Raw genomic sequence first — 23040 nt, 5'->3', positions numbered from 1 at the left:
ATCCCAGCTGCTACAGCTCCAGCTGTGGCCAAGAGGGCCCAAGGTACAGCTCTGGATGCTGTTCCAGTGGGTGCAAGCCATAAGCCTTGATGACTTTCACGAGGTGTTAAGCCTGTGGGTGCACATAGTTTAAAAGTTGAGGCTTAGAAGCCTCCACCTAGATTTCAGAGAATGTATGGAAAAACCTGGATGTCCAGGCAGAAGCATGCTACAGGGTTGGAGCCCTCATGGAGATCCTCTACTAGAGCAGTGCAGAGGGGAAATGTAGGGTTGGACCCCCCACACAGAGTCCTCTTTAGGGCACTACGTAGTAGTGCTGTGAGAAGAGGGCCACCATTCTCCAGACCCCAGAATGGTAGAGCCACAAGCAGCTTGCACCCTGTGCCTGGAAGAGCCGTAGGCACTCAATGCCAGTCCATGAGAGCAGCTGTGGGGGTTGAACCTTGCAAAGTCACAGTGGCCAAGCTGCCCATGGCTTTGGGAGCCCACCCCTTGCACCAGCATATTCTGGATGTGGGACATGGAGCCAAAGGATAATATTTTGGAGCTTTAAGGTTTAATGACTACCCTGCTGGGTTTTGGACTTGCATGGGGCCTGTAGCCCCTTTCTTTTGGCTGATTTCTCCCTTTTGGAAAGGGTATATTTACCCAATGCTTATACCGCCATTGTGTCTTGGAAGTAACTAACTTCTTTTTTATTTTACAGGCTCATAGGTAGAAAGGACTTGCTTTGTCTCAGATGAGACTTTGGACTTTAAACTTTTGAGTTAATGCTGAAATGAGTTAAAAGACTTTGAGGGACTGTAGGGAAGGCATGATTGTATTTTGCAATGTGAGAAGGACATGAGATTTGGGGAGGAGCCAGGGTCAGAATGATATGGTTTGGATATGTGTCCCCACCCAAATCTTATGTTGAACTGTAATCCCTAGTGTTGGAGGTGGGACCTGGTGGGAGGTGATTGGATCATGGGGGTGGTTTCTTATGGCTTAACACCAGCCCCCTTGGTATTGCCATAGTAAGAGTAAGTTATCACAAGATCTGGTTGTTTAAAAGTGTGTAGCACCTTCCCCCTCTCTCTCTTCCTCCTGCTCTGGCTATGTGAAGATACCTGCTCTGGCTTTGTCTTCTGTCATGAGTAAGTTTCCTGAGGCCTCCCTAGCCATGCTTCTTGTATAGCCTGTAGAACTGTGAGCCAATTAAATCTCTTTTCTTTACAAATTACTCAGTCTCAGGCATTTCTTTACAGCAATGTGAGAGTGGACTAATACAGGGACCTTTTAGGAGGAAGTCATAGGAGAGTTCTTGGAGAAGGTAAGGTTGGAAGAAGGTACAAAGAAAAAAGCTTATGTCTTTAAATCATCTTCATTCCTGATAATTCAGCACACTTTAGAGGCAACTTCCAAGTCAGCTGTTGATGGTAGTGAAGACCCAAGGCCCAGAGAGGGAGCAACTGGCCCTAGAGTTGCATGATGAGTCTTCAGTGGCAAGGCCGAGATTAGAGGTCTGTACTCAGCATTCAGCTATTGGTGGACAGAACTCGTCCTTTGCTTCCTAAGTGCGGCTTCAGTCCTGTCATGGCCCTGCACTTCCCCGATTCCCTGCCCACTCCGTCCCCACTTCTTCAGGTGCTTCCCCATGGGAACTGGTAGAATAGTGTTAGAAAGCCACATCCATAGTATGGCCTCTTGAGGATTTCTGGTTTGTGTGACTTTGAGCAAGTCCTCCCCTGATGTTGGAGGATTCTTACCCCTGAAGTTGGGGAAGGAGTGAAATCTTGATGGTAGGACATCTGCTCACATGTCCTTTGAGACTTACCACGTTTGTCACCATGTATTTAGCACAGCTGCCTTTCATCTGCAAATACAGCCTGGGAGCTCTTTATGTTTTATCTAATTTTAATTCTTATAACAATCCCATGGAGTTGTTAGGTAGTAAAGTGCTCTCTCTGTTTTTACAGATGGAAATCTGGAGACTGAGTGAGGTTGAGTAATTTGCCCGAGGTTGGCAAGAGGCTAAAGTAGAATTCTAAACCAGATCTGTTTGATTCTGATGCTCTTGCTTTTAGCCACAATGTTTTAGCATCTGTTCAATTCTGAACAGACGGACAGAATTTGCAGAGGTCAGAGGGAGGTTCTAGAATAAAGCTGTTCTCTAGTTTACAGGACAGAAATGGAGGTAGTGATATGCCTGTGCCAGTTCTGGGATGTGTAGCTGGGAGGGAAGCCTTCTGTGGACCACCATGTAGGAGGGAGAGCATAGCAGGGTATGATGGGAGGAGCATGGGTTCTGGAATTGAAAAATCCTGTGTTCAAATCCACACTGTACCACAAATCCCACGAATGGAGGACATTTGGACAAATTGTTGAAGCCCTCTAAGCTTCCATTTCCATGTCTGTAAAACGGGATAATAATGGTATCTCCCTAGAGGGTTGCTGGGTAGGTACAATGAGATGATGCAAATAAAGTACTTAGACAATACCAGGCTCACAGTAAATGCCTAATAAATGCTGGCTGTTGTTTTTATTCGCTATTGTTTTGAAAAATGGCAGGCACTACAGACATACAAAGTGCAGAGAGTGGAAAGACAACAATGTGTTTTAGGGCCAGGCAGCCCAGAGCTGCCCAGGCTGGCACCCTGCCCAGAAGTGGGAGTGATCTGGCAGAGGCCAGGGCCTTGCAGGAGGATTTTTGCAGACACCCAACTTCCTGCATCAGTGGGGTCGAGTGATCTCTGGAGTGCCTTCCGACCTGGAGAGGTCATTTCAAGTCTCTGCAATGGTAGCGATGGTAGCTCCAGCAAGGGAGGGAAAAGGGGCTTCCACTGGCTCTTGGACACTCCAGCTGTCATTTTTGGGAATGTGCTTATCTGCCCCAGAGGGAAATAGATGATTGAGAAAGGAGGCAACCAGGGGACTTAGGCTTTACCAGCAGTGACCTACTAGCTCCGGTGTGTTTGCCTCAGACAGCAGGCCAAGGCTAGTGTCACGGCAGTTTAGGGGGTCCTGCACATTCACTGTGCCAACGAGCGGTATTTTGCAAACTTATTATAAACAGATTATATTTCTTATCCTAATGTGGCTGTTGGCTACCTGCCCATGAATTTTAGCCTCCAGGAGAAAAACAATTGCTTGAGCTGAGTGTTCTGTGCTTTTACTTTCCATACATTACTCAGGGCTCCTTCCAGTTCCCCCAACCCTTAATCTCTCTCTTTCTCTCTCTCTCTCGCTTTCATTCTCTCTCTCTCTCCATCTTTTTCCTTCTTTTCAGAAAGTCCTCTTTCATCTTGGGCATAACTAGAAAATCTGTAAGCTGTGCTTTCTGCCATGCATTAGCCAACAGGGTCCTTTCCTCCCAAGCCAGGGAAGAAAGCACAAAAAGCAATGTCCAGGCTGGGCCTCTCAGGGTCCACAGCATCACAGGCAAAGGAAGCAACTGTCTCCATGCCTACCAACGGATCCACACACATCTCGCTGGGCAGCATCTCTGCCCCAGGAAGCAGCGCGCTTACTACACTGGGCACCCAGATGTCTGGTCTTGCGTGGCAGGCAGCCACTTTCTCCCGGCCTTTTCTTGTCCCAAAAGTCAGAGGGGCAGGCCAGTTCCAGAATGGGATTCCAGGCAGACCAGGAGACTAGGAGTGCATGTGAACAACTGCAAGGGGATGCGTCTGTCTGCCTGGTGTCCGTGTGTTCATGTGCACACCTGTGCACGCGCTCCCCCAGACTTACACACACTCGTGAACACATGCTCACACAAGTTCATGCACGGGAGTAGCTCCAAGCCTCTCACTCAGCACTTTGCTATTAATAGCTCACTTTTCTAAAAAAGTCTGCTTAGCCGTTTGTAAGAATAACCACCACTGCCTGTGTGACAGCCCAGGCCCCCGCAGGGAGGACAGGACCGGCCCTCTGCTAGGACTGCCTGACTGCCTGCCTCACGTTAGAATCCAGAGGGAGGGCCAAGAGGGGAGATGAAAACCCTTCCTGAGTGGCCAGGGCAGCCTCCAGTGCCTGTGCCCAGGGACAAGGCAACTCACTGGTAATGTCTGCGGGCAGTTGGCCAGGCCCCTGAGAGCCAAGATGCCACCTTCTTCATGGTGACAGCAGGGAGCATGCTCCATGAAACCAGAATGAGCCTGTTCTCCACTCTGGGGTCCTGCTGTAAAAGCCAAGAAGCAGAGAGCCAAGCTGAGCCCACCAAGAGCTTGGCACGAGGCTGTCACCCACAACTTCTCGCTGATCCAAAAGACAGGCTCTGAGGCTGGAAATTCAAGTGTGGTGGTGCTGTGACACAGCACACAGCCACCGTGCACTTGTGTCCCTGGCAGCCGCAATCCGGGCCTGAGAGGGCCCAGTGTCTGTGGGTGTTTGTATTTAATTGCAGTGGGGTGAGAAAGGCCAATGGTTGGGTTTTATTTCAAACCTGCTTTGAGGAGAAGTAACATTAGGTGGCCCAGAGCTGTGAAATGTGTCCTGGTCATAAATGCTTCACCATCAATTAACACCTCCAGAATACCTAAGAGTTGCCAGCAACTTCCCATTCAAATAACCTCTTAAACCTTCCTCCACACCACACTGCCCATTCCCTCGCAGGCAGACCTGCATGGTTTGATGACGACTGGTCACACTGCTGGCCCTATCTGTATAAAAGTCCAGACAGTTGGGCTGTGAGGGGAAATGCCTACCTCAGAGTAGCTTAAGAAAGAAAGATATTGGTTTACTTCTGAAAAGCTCAAGACCAGCTGAGTTTAATGGCATCATTAAACTCATTAGACATGGGGCTGGGAAGTGGCTGCCAGCAGTTTGGTGCACAGCCTGTCCTCTCAGCAGCCCAGGTGGCAGGTGTCTTGGGAGTGGCAATGATGAGACCAGCTGCTCATCCTGGGCTGGTCATTGTGACTCAGATGTGGAGTGGGCTGGTTAGTGGTTCTGGGCCACTTGTCCATCTCTGGATCTGGCAGCTCCATCTACACAGTGTCGGGCTAGGCATGGGAGCATTCTGGGCCAGGAGAAAGGGGATTGGATCCTGGATGGTGGGAACCGCAGGTGTCCCCCTCCACGTGCCTGGGTCCAAGACTGCTCTGCTCTGGACCTTCTACGCCTTCAGAGGTACAAGTTGCAGTGCTACCCTTGCTGAACCTACAACCCTGTTCAAGTGACAACTTCTCTGAGTCTCATACGAGGATATTGAAAGAACCTTCTGCACAGGGCTGTTGTGAGGATTAACCGTAATAATACAAGAATATCTGGCACTTGCATTCAGCAACTCACCGCTTACTTGTTCAACCAGGTAAAAAGGTTCTGATCCCAGTGTTGCAGGACAGAAAGACCTCCCCCTCTGTAGCTGCAGGTGTGACCCAGCACAGAAAAAATGGCAGGTGAAAGACAGGCAGGAAGAGCAACTAAGAAGGTGGGAGGCACCTCCATAAGATGCCTGAGGCCATGGGGATGACTGTTCACAGAGCTAGTCCCTCGAGCAATGTGTTAAATCTACTGAACTGTGATAAAGCAACTTCTGGGTGAATTTTGTCCTGCTACAAGGTGTCATGGAATGGCAAGGTGGCAGATCTCAGAAGTGGATCCAATGGTTTTTTTTTAGTTAAAGCAGAACATTCCTGGGGATGGTGTCAAACTCCCTTCCATACTGTTGAGTCTGCTGATGATTACACTGGCTTCTCCTCTTTGCCCCATCATTTCACAGGTTCCCATCTTAAAGAGGAAGAGAAAGGAAGGAGGGAACGAAGGAAGGGAGGGAGGGAGGGAGGAAGGAAGGAAGGAAGGAAGGAAGGAAGGAAGGAAGGAAGGAAGGAAGGAAAGCGAGAGAGGGAGGGAAGAAGAGAGGGAAGGAAGTTATCAAACCCAAGCTCTGTGCAGAGCAGGAGACGTTTCCATGGGACCCCTAGAATAGATAGGTTCTTGCTGCTCTCCTGGTGGATGAAGATGCCCACCAGTAGCTGTGAGAGTCTCCCCGAAGGCCTGATTGTGGCTCCAAGTTCCGTAGGACTCACTAGTCTTTTTTTCCCTAGAGGGTCTTGCCATTGAGAGGCAGGTGATGTGCTGTTTCAGAAAACAAAATTGGGACATGTCCTGATATGACATCCATCAAATATATACAGATAGGTGTCACAGCCCCCGAAAAAGCTTATCTCTTCTAGGCCACACATAGCTATTTCCTCCAACTGTGTCAGACATTACAAAGTTTCTAGCAATCAAAACAAGTCAAATGCCATTCTCAGGACCCGTTGGAGGATTTTTTGCTTTGTTTTGGCTTTGTACGGTATCCATACCATTTTCCAAATTCTTTTGTCCTTACATATTTTGTTTTTCTTAAAAAAAAAAAAATCACCTATAATCCCATCACCAGACAAAACCACTAGAAAGAAACCAACATTTTAGCCATGTTTTTCTGTATATAAAAAAAGTGTGTGTGGAATTTTTCATAACAATATTGGGACCATGACATCTATCACATTTTTTATTAGGAAATGGCCTTCAACAATATGCATTTAACAATATGCTTGATGTCTGTGTAATATTTCATCTAACAAATATATCATGATTTATTTAAGTATTCCCTGATTGCTTGCTTCTAACTAGAAAAAACAATTTTTCTAAGTGTCACCACTGGGTTAGAGTAATCTCAGCCAATCCTCCTAATAGCACTGTGAGACCAGAGTTATGATAATCTTCAGTTAATGGACAAGGGACATGATGGTGTGGAAGGATAAATAAACTACCCAAAGACAACTAGCTAGTGAGACCAGCATGGACAGTCAAGCCCAGTGCATGTAATCTGTGCTCCCCTGCACTGTTGCTCATATACTTGGACCCTTGCATACATGATTTTCTTATTCATCTTGAAAGAGAAATGTTAGCTTACTGTTTTTATTTGCATTTATTTCGTTGCTTTTGAGTTTGAGCATCTTTCCATTTCTTATAGACCATTTGCATTTGTTTTCCTACAAAATGCCTGTTGATGGCTTTTGCCCATTTTTCTGTTAGCCTTGTCCTATGTATACACACATGTATATTATTAGTTCACTATCTGTCAGGTAAATTCCCCAGTTTTCTTCTTGCCTTTTAATGTTGTTATGGTCATTTAGGACTAGAAAGTTTTAAATCTTGTATGCCTATCAGTATTTTACTGTGTGACTATTCCCATTATTTTTATGCTTAGAAAGTTTTCATTCCTATCAAGTATAGATAAATGTTCAGTTCTACTATTTTATTTTAATTGTGCAGTGGGTTCATTTTTGGCATTGAATTAATTAATCTATCTGGATGTTATCATTAGTTTCCTTCTGAAAAAGTCAGTCCAGGCTGGGTGTGGTGACTCACACCTGTAATCCCAGCACTTTGGAAGGCCTGAGTCCAGGAGTTCAAGAACCAGCCTGAGCAACATGGCAAAACTGTGTCTCTATCAAAAATACAAAAATTAGCTGGGAGTGGTGGCACATGCCTGTGTTCTTAGCTACTCAGGAGGATAAAGTGGGAGGATTGCTGGGGCCTAGGAAGTTGAGGCTGCAGTGAGCCATGATTGCACCCCTGCACTCCAGCCTCGGTGACAGAGCAAGACCCTGACTCAAAAAAAAAAAAAAAATGCAGTCCAGATGTACTGGAACAAGCTTGTGTGGGATGGCTACACTCCTTTCCTGTTCTAACACACCTGTTACCTGGATGAGCTCCTATATCCTTATCCAGGTACCAGATCTGCCACACCTGGTACCGGCATGAGCCCTGTGGGGAACATACCAGCAGAGACATTACACTTCCACCGAGACAAAATAAAGCCACATTGACTTTTAGTACTCATATTATTGACTGACATTAAACCCATGGCAACTAAAATCTCGTTGTTTTTTTTTTTTTATTCTGGGGGTGAGGGTACAACTTTTAGAGAAAGTATCTCTCCCTAAGACTGCCAATCACTCTAAATTTGCATCTAACACTTCTACATAACTTTATCTACCGAGTAGGCAGTATTTACCGTCTGCTGTTTCATCTTGTAGCATAATTTTCTTTTATATTTCCAGGTGTGAAAATATTCAAACTGACCCCTAATTCTCAGCTTTCAGAGCTATCTGCTACTTCCCAGGTCACTTTGGTTTTTAAGCGCTTTCACATGCTGTTGTTGGACATCTGGGTTATTCCCAAATCTTGTTTTCACGTAGGCAGCTGTCAAGTCAAGATAGCCATGGCCCTGCCTGGCATGTTCTTTAAGATTGCATTTTATTTTTATTATTTTATTTTATTTTTCTTGGAGACAAGAGTTTCACTCTGTTGCCCAGGCTGGAGTACAGTGGCATGATCTTGGCTTACTGCAACAGATCTTGACTTACTGTAACCTCCGAGTCCCAAGTTCAAATGATTCTCCTGCCTCAGCCTCCTGAGTAGCTGGGATTACAGGCACCAGCCACTATGCCTGGCTAATTTTTGTATTTTTAGTAGAGATGGGGTTTCACCATGTTGGCCAGGCTGGTCTCGAACTGCTGACCTCAGGGGATCCACCCAGCTTGGCCTCCCAAAGTGCTGGGATTACAGATGTAAGCCACTGTGCCAGGCTGCATTTTTAATACTGTGTTTTTCTTGACATATATTCCAACTAAATTCTTCTGGGTGTTGTTGGTTTGACCTCATATTCGGTCCTATTGAAATGAATTTGAATCATTCATGATTTGGTTATTTATTGCATTCATTGTCCTTCTCAGCTTCTGGTTACCCACACAGTAGACACAAGTGCCTTTGGCATCTTTTTTCAAATCTACAGATGAGGAAACTGAATCCCAGAATGGTGGAGTGATTTGACGAATATTGCAAAACTATAATGGGGAGATGAGATGGGGATCCAAGTCTTGTGCCCCCAAAGACAGGGCACCAGGCAGCGTAGAGGTGGCCAGTACCAGAGCAACAGCCTAACAATGGTATGTATGTCACACACCCAGCTCACTCAATCCTGACCACAACCCCCCACTGCTCTGATTCCTGCCCCATCAGTAGCGTCTGAAAGGACATCTCCAAGTTCACCTTCAAGGACACTGTTAAGGCTGGGCCAGTGGAAGGAATATGACCCCTGGCACTGTCCCCCTTCATAAGACTTCAAAGTTCATCATTTCATTTGGGCATCATTTTACAATTTGCTAGGAATCCCTCTTATCTTATTTTCATCTGGTCCATATTCCTCCGTTTCAAAAACAAGACTATCCTGAAAAACTGTCAGCTGCTTGCTGAGGTTATTTTTGGTATACAGTACTTACCAGAGTCACCTGGTCAGCATTAATCACCCCATCATGAAAGATTTATGGTTGTTTGGGGGGTACTGAACCCATGTTGTACCCTATGTTTTTTCTGAAATATTTTCAATCTAGATGGTCAGTAGTTCTAGAATATTCCCTCAGGGATTGCCATCGACAATTGACCATTTTTATAAATGTTAGAAATGGACCGTTTGCCCAGGAGAGGGCTTCCCTGTGTTGAGTTTCTGTGTTGCTGCCAGGTCATCGAAGAGTTTTCATTGTTAAACTTGTGTAGGGCATCCAAGCACCACCTTGCTGTCTTCTCACCAGGCCAGGGGTCCACCTTTTGGAAGAGCATCTTTCTAACTAGAAGAGAGAGACGTGAAGTTGAAATTACTTGGCTCTGCCTCCTTTTTTTTTTTTTTCTCAAGTTTCTACATTTTAGCATCTTTCCTGTGTAATCCCTTTCTTGTCCCACTCTTCAAATAGCTTTGAAAACCCTTCTGAGATCACGGGCCTATTTTCAGCCTCTGCTTGGTGTGGGCTTTTGGTTTCCCAGTGTGGTTCTCACAGGTTCAGGCCCCCCCAACCCCGGTATTGACTCCATGTCAACTTCTTATCTTCTGGGTATGCCTTTCTGAAAGTCTGAGATCACCAGTGGTACCCTGTGTGGCCCACACTGGATTTTTCTAACTATTTCCTCTTTTTGGTCCTCACTGGGCTTATTCAGGATTATTGACGATACATATGCAGAATTTGGGGTTTTCTCCTAATCTCTTTTCTCACTTGGGATCTGTGTGTGTTCAGACTCCCTAGCCCCAGCCCTCCAGGTTAATATTGTGTGGCACTAGGACATTAGCCTCAGTTTCTTCAATTTGATATAATTGTGTATGATAACAGAATTTACCTCCTGGAGTTGTTATGAGGATTGAAGGAAATAGTGCTTAGTTGTGGTTAGTATTAATATTATTATCTACCTATTCCTGACACACTTTGTGGTTATAAGTGACAGAAAACTACCTCAAACTGGCTTAAACACGAAAAGAGAATCTGTTGCTCAGAGAAGTTTCCCCTAGGAATTACCATCAAGCAACATCCAAAGGTAGACCTGGCTTTCGGCACAGCTGGGTTCACAGCCCTGGTAATGTCCTCAGGACTCAGTTGTGTCCATCTGGTTCCTCTGACGCTCTGTGTGGAAGGAGGAGGTGGCGCAGCAGCAGCCTCCAGCTTGGCATAGCCATGGTGGGGAGCAGGACCCCAGCGCTTAGGTTTGGCTCCTATCTCAGCAAACTGGTGCTCTGCCAAACTGAATTTGGAAGACTTGCTTTCCCAGAGAAGAGAGCACATGAGCCTTCCTGACTGCGAGTGATATTGCTGACACAAACTGGACACTTCCTCCACTCTGTAGCTAAGGGGCAGCTGGGCCTTTCAATGCAGCTCTTTTCTAGCAAGGGAGACCCCACCAGAATTGAGATGGGTAACCCCGAGCCCTGTGCACAGGTGCCTGCTTTTATTCCCTCATTCATCTCGGTCTGAACATTCCTGACCTTGACTCTTGCCTGCGACATCCTCTGCACTCCTCCACATGCTCCACTCAGCTCGCTCCTGAGAGCTGGTAATTAATCGGCCTTGTCTTTACCCTCTGACCCCACTGAGCCTCCCAGATGGGTTTCCACACCTGGCAAATGACCTTGGAGTTACTCCTAACTTTGTCCCACAGGCCTGCTGGATTGGATTTAATGTTTGCTTGCTAACTTCTCTGACTCTTGACCTGGTCTGGTCACTTGCTGTGGTTGTGTGTGACACCTCTGTGTTATACACAGTGCCGGGCATTGCTTTTTCAGCAGCCTGGAATCCACTGCCTCTTCTTTCCCCAATTCGATGTCCTTTTGTGGCACTACTCTCTCACTGGGCGCCGTCTTCATGGTAAATCCAGGTGCTTTTCCCCCTGCGTGGAAGTGGAAAGTTGTCCACAGTGTCTCCTCCCTTGCCCCAGGGTGGTCCTGAGCTGAGCTGAGCTGAGTGGTCCCAGGGGGAGGGACAGCAGGCTGTTTGTTCCCTGTAGAGGCGCTTGATGGTGGAGCGCTCTTGTCCCAGTTGAACCTGGTTCTCCAGCTCAGAATCCAGCACCCCTGTTGACCTCACAAGCTCCTTCATAGCTTCCAATTCATTCCCCTCCCTGCTTGAGTCAGCAAGGGTCGTTCCTTCTGCTTTCAAGAGTCCTAGCTCATATTCCTGTGCTGTGCTCTATCTTCCCTGGCTTTATAGATTTACTTGGGCTCTTTTCACTCCTCCCTCTGAAGTTACCAATTGCACTTTTTCTGGTCTCATGGGCTGGCCTCCTGCAGCATGCTCTGCTCTTCCCAGCTTTGGGCCAGCACTTCCTGCTTCCTGCCAGGCCCCCGCTGTTCTGAGGTGGATCTGGGCTGCAGTCCAGGAGACAAAATTCTCCACTGTGACACCATCTACATGCCCAGATGTTCCCTCCATGTACTTCCTCTTTCTCCTTTTCTTTTCCAAACTCACAACCTTCCAGTGAGAGAAGGAATGAAAACACCACCTGTAACACCAATTCCTCCAATTTCCTCCCCAGAACTTCAAAGTAAACAGAAATGTATTGGGCTTAGACTGGGACTTATGGATGGTCAGAGTTGGAAGAAGCCTTAGAAACCATCACAAGCCTTTGCTCCCAGGGCTGTCTCTGATCGTTTGGTTGTGGCTGACTGGGTTGTCACATCTGGACACAGGAAGAAAAGTGCTGGGAGTGATTCCCAATGTCTGAGTGGATGAGGGAAGGGGGAGTGACAGCATATGAGCTAGTTATTTGCCCGTCCTTTAACAATCTGCTCTGTGTTTTACAAAATGGGGAAACTGAGTCACACATCTATCAAGCTGTCTAAGGCCACACAGGAAGTCAGGGCAGATTTGGGGGTAGAATCCAGGTTGTCCAGCCTTCTCTATCAACAACAATGACTTCTCTTTCCCATTGGAATTCACTGTCATAGGATGTCATCTAAGTCCACTTCCTGACAGCATGTGTGTCTCCCAGTCTGTGATGTCATGCTATACTCGGCCACCTCTGTACAGGACAGTGTGGCACGAAAGGGATCCTGCTGGTGCCTGTGGGGCTGGGGCTAATACTCTGGGACAACTTTCAGAATCACAGTTCTTCTACCCTAGGACAAGAGGGTGGTATACAGCCAAGGAAAGGTGGTCCTGGGCTCTGCAGCCATGGAGCTCCAGGGTTTGGAAGGTGCCGTGGAATCTTACTCCTTAGTTTGGACTTTTGTCAAACTGCAGCTGGAAAAAAATTAGAAATTGCTGCTCCAAATGGAACATACTCCATTTCATTCCAAATGAGAAGTAAACAAATAGACGGGTGAGCCTCCCCAAAATGATAAAACTCTTCACACTTAAGATGAGAAGTCAGTTCAAGTGCAGTCCTGGCGTGACTCACTGGGGTTTGCTGCAGGAAGATAGGGGCGAAATGTCCTCATCCTGCCTGTAGAAGCCAGCTCCTTATTTTAAATCCCATCCTGCTTGACTATCAAAGTCAGACAGAGCCTTCCTAAAAGCTGAAACACACGCACAGAATGAGAAGTCCCTGCGGGAGCAAGCTCACTGTGGTGAGAACCTTGCAGAGCAGACAGCTCCAGGGGCCAGCGGCTGCCTGCAAACACTTGCTGAGCAAGTCCCTGGGAGAGGGGCCTTTCTCCCAGGCCAGGAACGCCAAAGTGGGGTTTCCTGATAAGGAACACAGAACTGCTGTTTCTTGGAGAGGGAGTTCACACGGACTGGGATCCATTCTCAGGCTGGGCCTTAGTAGTGGGACAGCATCCTGTTTTATTAAAAGCCTGTTGCTGGCAGGGAAAGCCGTCTGCCTGCTGAGTGGGCAGGGGCCCAAGATCGCTGTGGGCAATTCCAAGCCAGTACTGGGAGCTGACATCAAACCAGGAAAGAACACGACTGTTTTTAGCTGATGTAGCAGTACATTTTCTTTCTTTCTTTCTTTCTTTTTTTTTTTTTTAATAGTTCTATTGCCCGGTTTCACTGTGTACATTTTGTGTGTGCAGGCATGCGTGTGACATCCTGTACCCAGCTACAGCCGAGGTTCACTCTGAGATGAGCCCACCCCACTTATTCTCCCCTTCTCCCTCCTTTCCCCACCTCCCCCTCTTCCCCATCCTTCCCCCACTGACCTCCCCAGCTCTAAAACCCCTGATAGACATAAAGAACAGAGGGAAACCCAGGCTGTAACCTGGGGTTATTCACAGGGTTGGGGTGGGTGAGAGAAGAAAAACAGACTTCTTTGTTTATCTTTTGAGTCTTGAAATTCTAAAAAATTCATTCATTTCCAAGGAAGCCTTAATTTGTAGGATTCCAAGAAATTTAAAAAAAGTAAAGGGAGATTCACTTCAAAAGAAACTAGGGGAAAAGCTGTTTTCTTTTTTAGCTGATTTGTTCATTATTCTTATTTTATTTAAAGTTAGGTTTGTTGAAGGCAGGCAAAGGTAGTCACTTTTTCATATTTGTATTACATTCTTACTTTCTTCCTCCATTGCCTTATCAGTTAAGAGGGCAAATAATATTTCAAGAGACTGATAGAATATGTTCTGCACTCTGCTCATTTCATAGCTCTCTGGGGAACTGGGGTTTTTATAAACTTTTATAATCACATTTTCTGCTGAGGTTATAGATGACTCCGAGAATCTTCCATTCATGCTGTAAATTAAAGTGACTCAAATTGCTTCCACTTTTACAAATTAAAAAAAAATGTACTTCTATACAGATTTTTAACAATTAACAAAAGGCCATTTTAACGCTCTGGTTGGTTGCCTGTACGTGATTTTTCTGGCTTTTCTTAAAATTTGGAGTGAACAGCTCCCATGTCAAATATAACATGTTAACTTATTGGCTTCTCTTTAACCCTGCACACAAACAATAAACTTTTCATGTAGAGCCAGAAAATGGTATATGTTGTGAACTTTTTTTTTTTTTTAAAGATAGAGTTTGTGGTGATAAAGGGATTTCAGAAAAAAAAAATGTAGTTGAAAATATGTTACTTCACATTGGAACATTCAATTTTATCTTAAGGATATAAATATTCAATTTTACCACATTAATCTTTGTACTGAGATAAGCCAAAAATAACGTAAACTGACAATTTTTTGCTATACATTCTAATATTTTACATATTTATAGGAGTTTTCCAAGTCATGAGATATCATATAAGGCACACAAAAAAAGAATGACATAAATCATGTTAAGTGCAGTCTACTTTTTCCTGAGCTATATCTTTAAGACAAAAGATATTTAACAAATTGAACTTGTTTTTTGTGGGAGGGTCCACTCTCTGGTTACTTAAGAGAAAACCAGAGGATTATCTTCGTGGTGAAGGAAAGTGTATAGAAGGCAGTATTTTTTTTTCTGTTATAAAGGGCCAGGGCTCTATCCATTGGTGCAGTGTTCTGCCTTTTGTGTTTTTTTCTGGTTAATTTAAAACATTAGCTCCAAGTTTTTAATGTAGTAGTTTCCCGTGAGTCACTGGGCTGAAAGCCCATCCTATCTGTGTCAGGCAAGGGTCCAAGACAAGAAACAAGGAGAACACAGATATAAGAAAGCTTTATTAGTGCAGCTAAACATTGATAATTAGGAAAGTTCCAGTTCTTCTATGGTAGTTTATTTGTAGATAAATGTAGTTGTAACCTTTTGGTGCCAAAGGAAAAACTCCTCATTCAAGACAAGGGATACGGAATAGGAAGAGCTCAAAGAAAACACAGTTTTCTGTGTTACAGACAAGTATTTACATTACTAATCAACTTTTGGTTCAGGAAAGAAGTGATAATCTGTTTAGATTTTTAAAAGGAATTCAATATCCTGTTGACTAAATGCAGAGCAGGTTCAGAGGAAGACGACTGTTGAATAATGCAATTGATTCCTTCCAAGAAAGCATAGGGTGTAGTTTTTATTATAGGAAGTGCCATCGATAGTACTTTTTCTGCTTTCTGGAAAATCACCCACGAAATAAAATTTGTTTTAAACATTATTTTTAAAACAGGCTCTGCCGACTTCCAGTTCTGGAACAAGATGGTTAAACTCATTTTTCCCTGCTCTGCTCCTCTAAATACAACTAAGTACCTTGGAAACTATTCAGCAGACAATGATAAAGGGCTCTGAAAGCTAGAAGAAAAGGTGTACTTGCAAGAAACCTCAGGACTTGAGTAACAGCAACATGGTAAGTTTTCTAAGTTTTCTTTTTGTCTCCCATATACGCTGGGCTGTGCTGGAATCACCAACAGGCACAGAAAAAATGACAACAAAACAACAACAAAACCCCCAAGAATATCCTGTTGTCTTTGGCCAAAGTTCAGGAAAGGGGAGCCCCAACAGAGACCCAGTAGGAAGCTCTAGCCCCTGTTTTGTACAACCCAGGGTCCTTGCAGAGAGATTGATCTGCCAGCAGTGGCATCAGCAGCAATAGTAGCAGCAGCAAAGCCCTGGACAGTCCTGGCCCCCAGTCCACAACTTAGACACAGCACATGGCCTAATTCACCCACAGAAGCAGCCACTGTGAAGCCCTGTGTCTCCCCAGACTCCATCCAGTGGCATAAGGAGACCCAGGCCCTGCAGCTTCCTCCCCATCATGGAAGGCTGTCCATCTACAGAGTTTCCAAACATAATAAGCACTAAGGAAACAACATAACATGATATGCCGAAAAAAAAAATCACAATTAAATCAAAATGAAACATCAAAAAATGTCCAAGTAAACCACAGGAAGGCAAGAAAAAAGAAACAAAAGTGTAATAAACAAAAGGATCAATCAGAGAACAAATAATAATAAAATATCAGACTTAGTCCTAATATATCAATAATTATCTTAAATGTAAATGTTCTAAATGCATCCATTAAAATGCAGAGATTGGCAGAGTGTATTACAAAACATGACCCAGCTATGTGTTGTTTACAAGAAACTCACTTCAAATTCAATGATATAGGTAGACTGACAGCAAATTGATGGAAAAAGATATAACGTGTAAACATTAGTCAGAAGGAAGCACAAGTGGCTATGTTAACATCAGAAAAAGCAGACTTCAGAGCAAAGAAAGTTACTATAGGCAAAGAGGGAAATTACATAATAACAAAAAGAATTAATTCACCAAGAAGATGTAGCTCTCCTGTTGTGATGTTATGATATATGTCGGCTTTCATCCATGGGTCCTGGCTCATAACTCCCACATCCCGTGTTAGAGTCTTTTGTTATATTGTTGGGGGTGTTAGGCCTCAGGGACAGGCCTCTGACCTTCTCCTGCCTTCCTTTCACTCTAATGTTCTCCCACCTTTCTGCCTTTCTCATTGTGGATCTTAAGACCCTCCCATGAGACAGTCCCACCCTATATCCTGGGGGAAGGAATGCTGACATCATGAAGCTTCCATAAAAAGCCAAGAGGACAGGGTTGTTAAGCTTCCAGATAGCTGAACATGTGGAGGTTCCTGGAGCGTGGTGCACCCAGGGAGGGCATGGAAGCTCCGTGACCCTTTCTCCATACCTCACCCTAGGCATCTCTTCATCTGTCTCCTTTGCAATATTTTTTAATTATAAACCCGTAAACATAGGTAAGCATTTCTCTGAGTTCTGAGAGCTGCTCCAGCAAATTAATCAAACCCAAAGAGGGGGTCATGGGAACCCCACCTTGAAGCTGGCTAGTCAGAAGTTGTGGAGGCCCAGACTTACAACTGGTGTGTGTATGGGGGCAGTCTTGGGGGCTGAACCTTCAACCTGTGGGATCTGACTCTATCTCTGGGTAGATAGTGTCAGAACTGCATTGGAGGACACCCAGCTGGTGTCCGCTGCTATATTCTAGCTGATTTTCTCCCTAGTAGTCCTAGTAGTCTTGAGTGTGGGGAGACAGTGGGGGATTGATGCCCCAACCACAATTGTGGATTTCTTCTTTCAGCTGTCTTAGTTTTTGCTTCAGATATGTGAAAGTCTGTTGTGTGGTTCATAGGTATGTAGAGAAAACTCTCCCTAGCTGTGTTTTTCTTCTGCTGTCACACCATGACAACATCAACACAGAAGCCTTTCTTCATATCGTATAAGGGCACAAAAAAGGAATGACATAAATCATGTTAAGTGCAGTCTATTTTTCCTGAGCTGTTATCTTTAAGACAAAAGATATTCAACAAATAGAATTTTATTTTTTTGCGGTGTGGGGTATCCACTCTCTGGTTACTTAGGAGAAAACCAGAGGATTATCTTTATGGTGAGGGAGAGTGTATAGAAGGCAATATTTTTTTTCTTTTATAAAGGCACAGGGCTCTATCTGTTGGTGCAGTGTTCTGACTTTTGTGTTTTTTCTGGTTAATTTAAAACATTAGCTGCAAGTTTTTAATACAGTAGTTTCCCATGAGTCACTGGGCCTTTCTTCTGTGTTGATGATTGTGGTGTGACAGTAAAAGAAAAACACAGTTAGTGAGCATTTTCTCTACATACCTATGAACCAAACAACAGACTTTCACATGTCTGAAGCAAAAACTAAGACAGCTGAAAGAAGAAATCCACAATTGTGGTTGAGGCATCAATCCCTGCTGTCTCCCTGCACTCAGGACTTCTAGGACTACTAGCAAGAAAATCAGCAAGAATATAGAAAAACTCAACCACACCATCAACTGACAGGATCTAATTGGCATTCATAGCACAATCTGTCCAACAACAGCAGAATACACATTTTTTTAAAGGTCCCATGAGACATTTACCAAGATAGAGCATATCCTAGATCATAAAACAAACATTAAAAAGTTCAAGAGAATTGAAATTATACAGACTATGTTACCTGGCCATAATAAAATCAAAGTAGAAATCAAGGCAGAAAGTCAATAGGCAAATCTCCAAACCCTTGGAAACTAAACAAAAAACATTTAAATAATCCATGCGTCAAAGTGGTAATCTCAAAGGAAATTTTAAAAAGACAAGAAAAGAATGAACATGAAAATATGACATGTTAAAATTTGTAAGATTAGCTAAAGCAGTGCTGAGAATAAAATTGATAGGAGTAAATGCTTACATTAGAAAAGAGGAATGATCTCAAATTACTAATCTAAGTTTCTACTTCAAGAAATTAGAAAAGTTGAGCAAAATAAACTCAAAGAAAGCAGAAAGGAGGAAATAAAAAAGAGCAGAAACTAATGAACTTGAAAACTGGAAAAAGAAAAAATGAAACAGAAAGTTGTCTCTTTAAAAGAATTAATAAGATTAATAACTTTTAGCAAGAATGGCAAATATAAAAAGAGAGAAGACATGAATCACCAACATCAGAAATGAAATAGGGGACACCACAATAGATGTCTTTAGCTATAAAAAGATAATTTAAAAACTGTAATCAACTTTATGCTCATATATTCAACAAGTTTGAAGAAATGGGCTAATTCCTCAAAAACCACAAAGTACTAAAACTTAGCCAAGGTGAAACAGATAATCTGAATAGCTGTGTAGATATTTCTAAGAATTGGATTTATAATAAAAATACTCCCCAAAAAGAAATCTCCAGGTCCAGAGGGTTTCATCCAAGAATTTTACCAAACATTCAAATAAAAATTAATGCCAATTCTATGTGTATCTTCCAGAAAATAGGAGAGAAGAGAAAATTAGGAAGTTCCCAATTCTCTTTATGAAGCCGTCATTACTCTGATACCCAAACCAGCTAAAGAAAGTATGCAAAAAGAAAGCTACAGATCAATATCTCTCATGAACTTTGGATGTAAAAACCACCAATCAAATGTAATTAATCAAAATCCAACAATGTATAAAAAGACTAAAGCACCATGACCAAGTGAAATTTATGCCAGGTAGACAAAGCTGATTCAATATTTGAAAAGAAATTAATAAAATTTATCATAGCAACAGGCTAAAGAAGAGAAACCATATAATCATAGCAGTTGGCAACAAAAAATTATTTAACAAAATTCAACACCCATTAATGATGAAAATAGAAAATCCTCTCAAATACACTAGGAATAGAGGGAGACTTCCTCAACCTCATAAAGAACATCTATTAAAAAACTACATCAGACATTGTATTTCATGATAAAGACAGAATACATTGCCTTATACAATCCAAAACAAGGCAAAGATTTCTACTTTCATCAGTCTTATTAAACACAGTACTAGAAGTTCTAGCCACTGCAATAAGGCAGGAAAAGGGAATAAAGGTCATGCTCATTGGAAAATAAGAAATGAAACTGTCTCCTTTTTTAGGCAGCATGATTATTTAAATAGAAAATCCCCCAAAAAATCTATGAAAAATAGGTTGTCCTCCTTCTGTTGGCTACATTGATCAGGCAAGTGCTGCTAGTTGTTCTTAGGGGTTCTGTTTAAGTGCTGCAGGAGATGGCAGCACAGAAGCTGAGGCACAGCTTGGGCATGGTAGACCAGGGGGACACCCAACTCCATTACTCCCTAGCTCTATGCCCCTGAACACCTTCCTTGATCCAGCTGAACTTTGGTCCCCTCATCTGCAATGGTGTTGATGATAGAACCCAGAGGCCATAATTCTTGTGAGTATTAAATGAGAGCAAGTGTGTAGTAAATGTGTCATTGTACTTGCTGCGGGTACTGCTGCTGTTGCTGCAGTTGTATGTGATACTGTGCTATTTGTTCTGCCACTCCCAGGCACTGCCACTGGAGCCCTTGTTCAGTGATCCTATGACTTGTCAGCTCAGTGAATTGCTCTGACTCTTACTGCTTTCATTTATGAAATGGAGACAATAACCCCTCTCTCATAGGAAGGGTAAGACCAGAAGAGCCTACACTATGGTTGGAATAATATTTGTATACAGTGATCAAGAGAATGTTCTCTGAAACCAGACTCTCTTTAAATCTTACCTCTATCACTTATTAGTTATATGGCTAGCTGTTAAATGAGGTCAAAAGAGTGTGTTCTTCATAAAACTATACAGAAGATTAAATTAATTAAAACATGTACAGTCCTTTTAAAAAAGATCAAGTGAAACAGCATACATGAAAGTGCTTTCAGCACGCTGAGAATAACAATAGCAATGGCTAGAGATTATGGAGCACTCCCCACTGCCAGCACCAGGGGAACTTTGTACCTACAACTTTTTACTTAGTCCACATAACCATGAATTCGTCTCATTTATGTAGACCGGGAAACAAAAGCCTAGAGAAGTAATTTGCCCAAAGACCTAGCTTACAAAGCAATAGAATCCAGGTCTGGACTCTCGGGATCTGACTGTGTTCTAATGCCTCCCAGAGAAAGTAGGCTAGAGAGGGCAGGAATAGCTTGACTTAGAGATCACTTCCACTGGCACGGTGGGTACAATCTGATGTGGGAGGCTCTGGGTGCAGCCTGTGATGGCAGAGTGGAGGAGCCAGGAGTCATTCTTGGCCTCATTGTCACTGCCTTCAAACTAACAAGTTGCCTGAGAGCTAAGGTTCCATTTGATAGGACACCGGGTGGGATGTGCATCAGAATATCCATTTCCTTGAAGGATCCAATGATTAGGCTGAGGCAAAATGTTTTAGACCATTCCCAGGTCTAAAAATAACTCCATCATCACCTCTAATAAGGACTCAGTCTGGAGTGACATCACTCCTTCAGGTGCAGAAAAGGAAAGCATGACTGTGTGTCACTGACTTAAAATAGGAGTGAGGTGAGAGGGGCAGCTGGGCTCATGGACGTCAAGTGGACAGTTTCTCAGCTGGTATTTCCTATATTTCCTGTTTTGGACAGCAGGTTCCTGCCCTTCTAAGCTGGGGGTAGGGGTGAGGGAGTGTATGTTAAAAAGCTCTGTGGACTTGCTTTTTCTCTTCTCCATGTGTGTTCTTTCCATCAATAATCTGCGTTCATCTTTACTGGCTGTTCATGCATTATCTGGAGATACGCTAGTTACAGAAATTCAAACAGGCAACTCTTCCTCTTTCTCCCTAGCTTTACACTACAGATCCATGAAGTTTTCTTGACTGTCCCTGCCTAGGGTACAACAAGGAAACCACTATTTGGATAATTCCCCTGATTCCATGGTACTGTGGAAGTGGTGGGCTCTCCATATGTCAGGGTATTCTATGTCTATGAAAAGGTATCTCTTTTGAGACCAAGGGTGGACGGGAGTCTAAGAGTCTACCAATTTTTAAAATAATTTAGCTATATTTAAGTCAATAAATTGTATTCAAGGCTGACTTTGTAGTGATGTATTCCATGAATTATTTCATTCAAAATAATTTTGAAAGGACTTCTGGTCCAGACAAAATAGCATAGATCCATTTCTGTCTTCTCTCCTCTCAGTTAAATGCAATTATAAAGTCTAGAAATAATGCAAGAGGTAACCAAAGGAGAACTCTGAAAGATGGAAACAGAAAGAGGAATTAGTTAGGGACCCTAAGACTGGAGGAACAATAGAGGTAGGATGTCTTACCATCACCGCATCCAACAAGAGAAGGTGACCTAGGCCTGGTATTACCTGATCCCAACTTGGCACCAAAAGACAGCCAACATAGACTCATTCCTCCTGCTTCCTGGTGAGCCTGGTATTCTCCTCCACTTCCACTGACAGACATGTAGGGTGACTGGGTGGTATCAACAATAGGAACCACATCATAACAGGCAGCCTAGTTTGGGAAGCACTCTTGGTCTCCGTAGGCCTGAGACTCCTTTTGCCCATCTAGAGGCACCAGGTGGCCCAGCCCATGGAAATTCCCTCAGCCCCAGAAAGGGGCACCAGAAAGGACCAGTGGGAGCTCCAGTAGGCTATAATAGTATGAAGGCTCTGAAATGAAGTTGCCACTGGACCTACAGCCCACTAAACTAGGCTAGGACCTTAGGTGATAGCCTGAAAAAAAAAAAAAAAAGACCCAGAGTCTTTTAACATAAAAAACAGGATGTGCAAATACAATGAAAAAACACACATTATACCAAGGACTAGGAAAACTACCTAAATGAGAAAAGACAAGTGACACCAACACTGAGATGAATCAGATAGTGGAACTGTCTGACAGACTTTAAAACAGCCATTATAAAAATGTTTCAGAAAGCAATTACAAATTCTCTTGAAACAAATGAAGGAATAGAAAAATCTCAGTGAGGAAATAGAAATTGTGAAAGAAGAACCAAGTGGAAATTATAGAATTAAAAAATATAACAATAGAAATTTAAAAAAAATCACTGGATTCTACTCAATAGTAGAATGGATATGACAGAGGATAGAATCAGTGAAATTGAGGAAAGAACAATATAAATCCCCCAGTCTGAATAACAGAGAGAAAATAGACTGAAAAGCTCTACCTTGAATGATAACTTTGATCACAAACTAGTAGTATTAACCACGTGGAAGAGGAGTTGCTAAATCAACTTAAGAGAACAAATAGTTTTAGGTGAGTGACAAATAATTGGAAAATTAAAAAGTTAAATGATGTCATGTATAATAACATCAACATACAGAGAAATAAATCTAATAAAATGTAATTAAAAACTATAAAATTATTGTGAAGAGGCATTAAAAGAATCCAAAATATATATTCATGGAATAAAAGACAATATTTTTATAGTCAGTTCTGTCCAAATTGACCTATAGAGTCAGTACAATTTTACAACAAATTTTAGTGGAATTTTGTTTATTTTATTTGAGGAATAAAGTTTATATTTTATTTGGAAATTTAAAGGACTGAAACAATCTTGAGCAAGAACATTTGTTAAGACTTATTCTGAAGCTTTAGCAAATAAGACAGTGTGAGATACACACAAGCATAGACAAATAGACCAATGGAACAGAAAAGAGAGTACTAGAAAACAGACC

General features: G+C 43.1%; 1 long non-coding RNA gene across 7 annotated transcripts in view; it reads left to right on the top strand.

Moving 5' to 3' along the window:
* MIR4435-2HG (MIR4435-2 host gene) overlaps positions 1-23040 on the top strand; it is a 299296-nt gene that overhangs the window by 135633 nt on the left and 140623 nt on the right. For all 7 annotated transcript variants that reach the window (NR_136164.1, NR_136163.1, NR_136162.1 and 4 more), the window contains one exon: positions 15292-15468. This is a non-coding gene — a long non-coding RNA (MIR4435-2 host gene). The remainder of the gene's footprint in view (positions 1-15291; positions 15469-23040) is intronic.

This window comes from Homo sapiens, chromosome 2 (assembly GCF_000001405.40).
Source record: "Homo sapiens chromosome 2, GRCh38.p14 Primary Assembly".
Taxonomy (NCBI): domain Eukaryota; kingdom Metazoa; phylum Chordata; class Mammalia; order Primates; family Hominidae; genus Homo; species Homo sapiens.
Note: the sequence above shows the minus strand (reverse complement) of the source record. Positions and strands in the feature narration are given on the sequence as shown.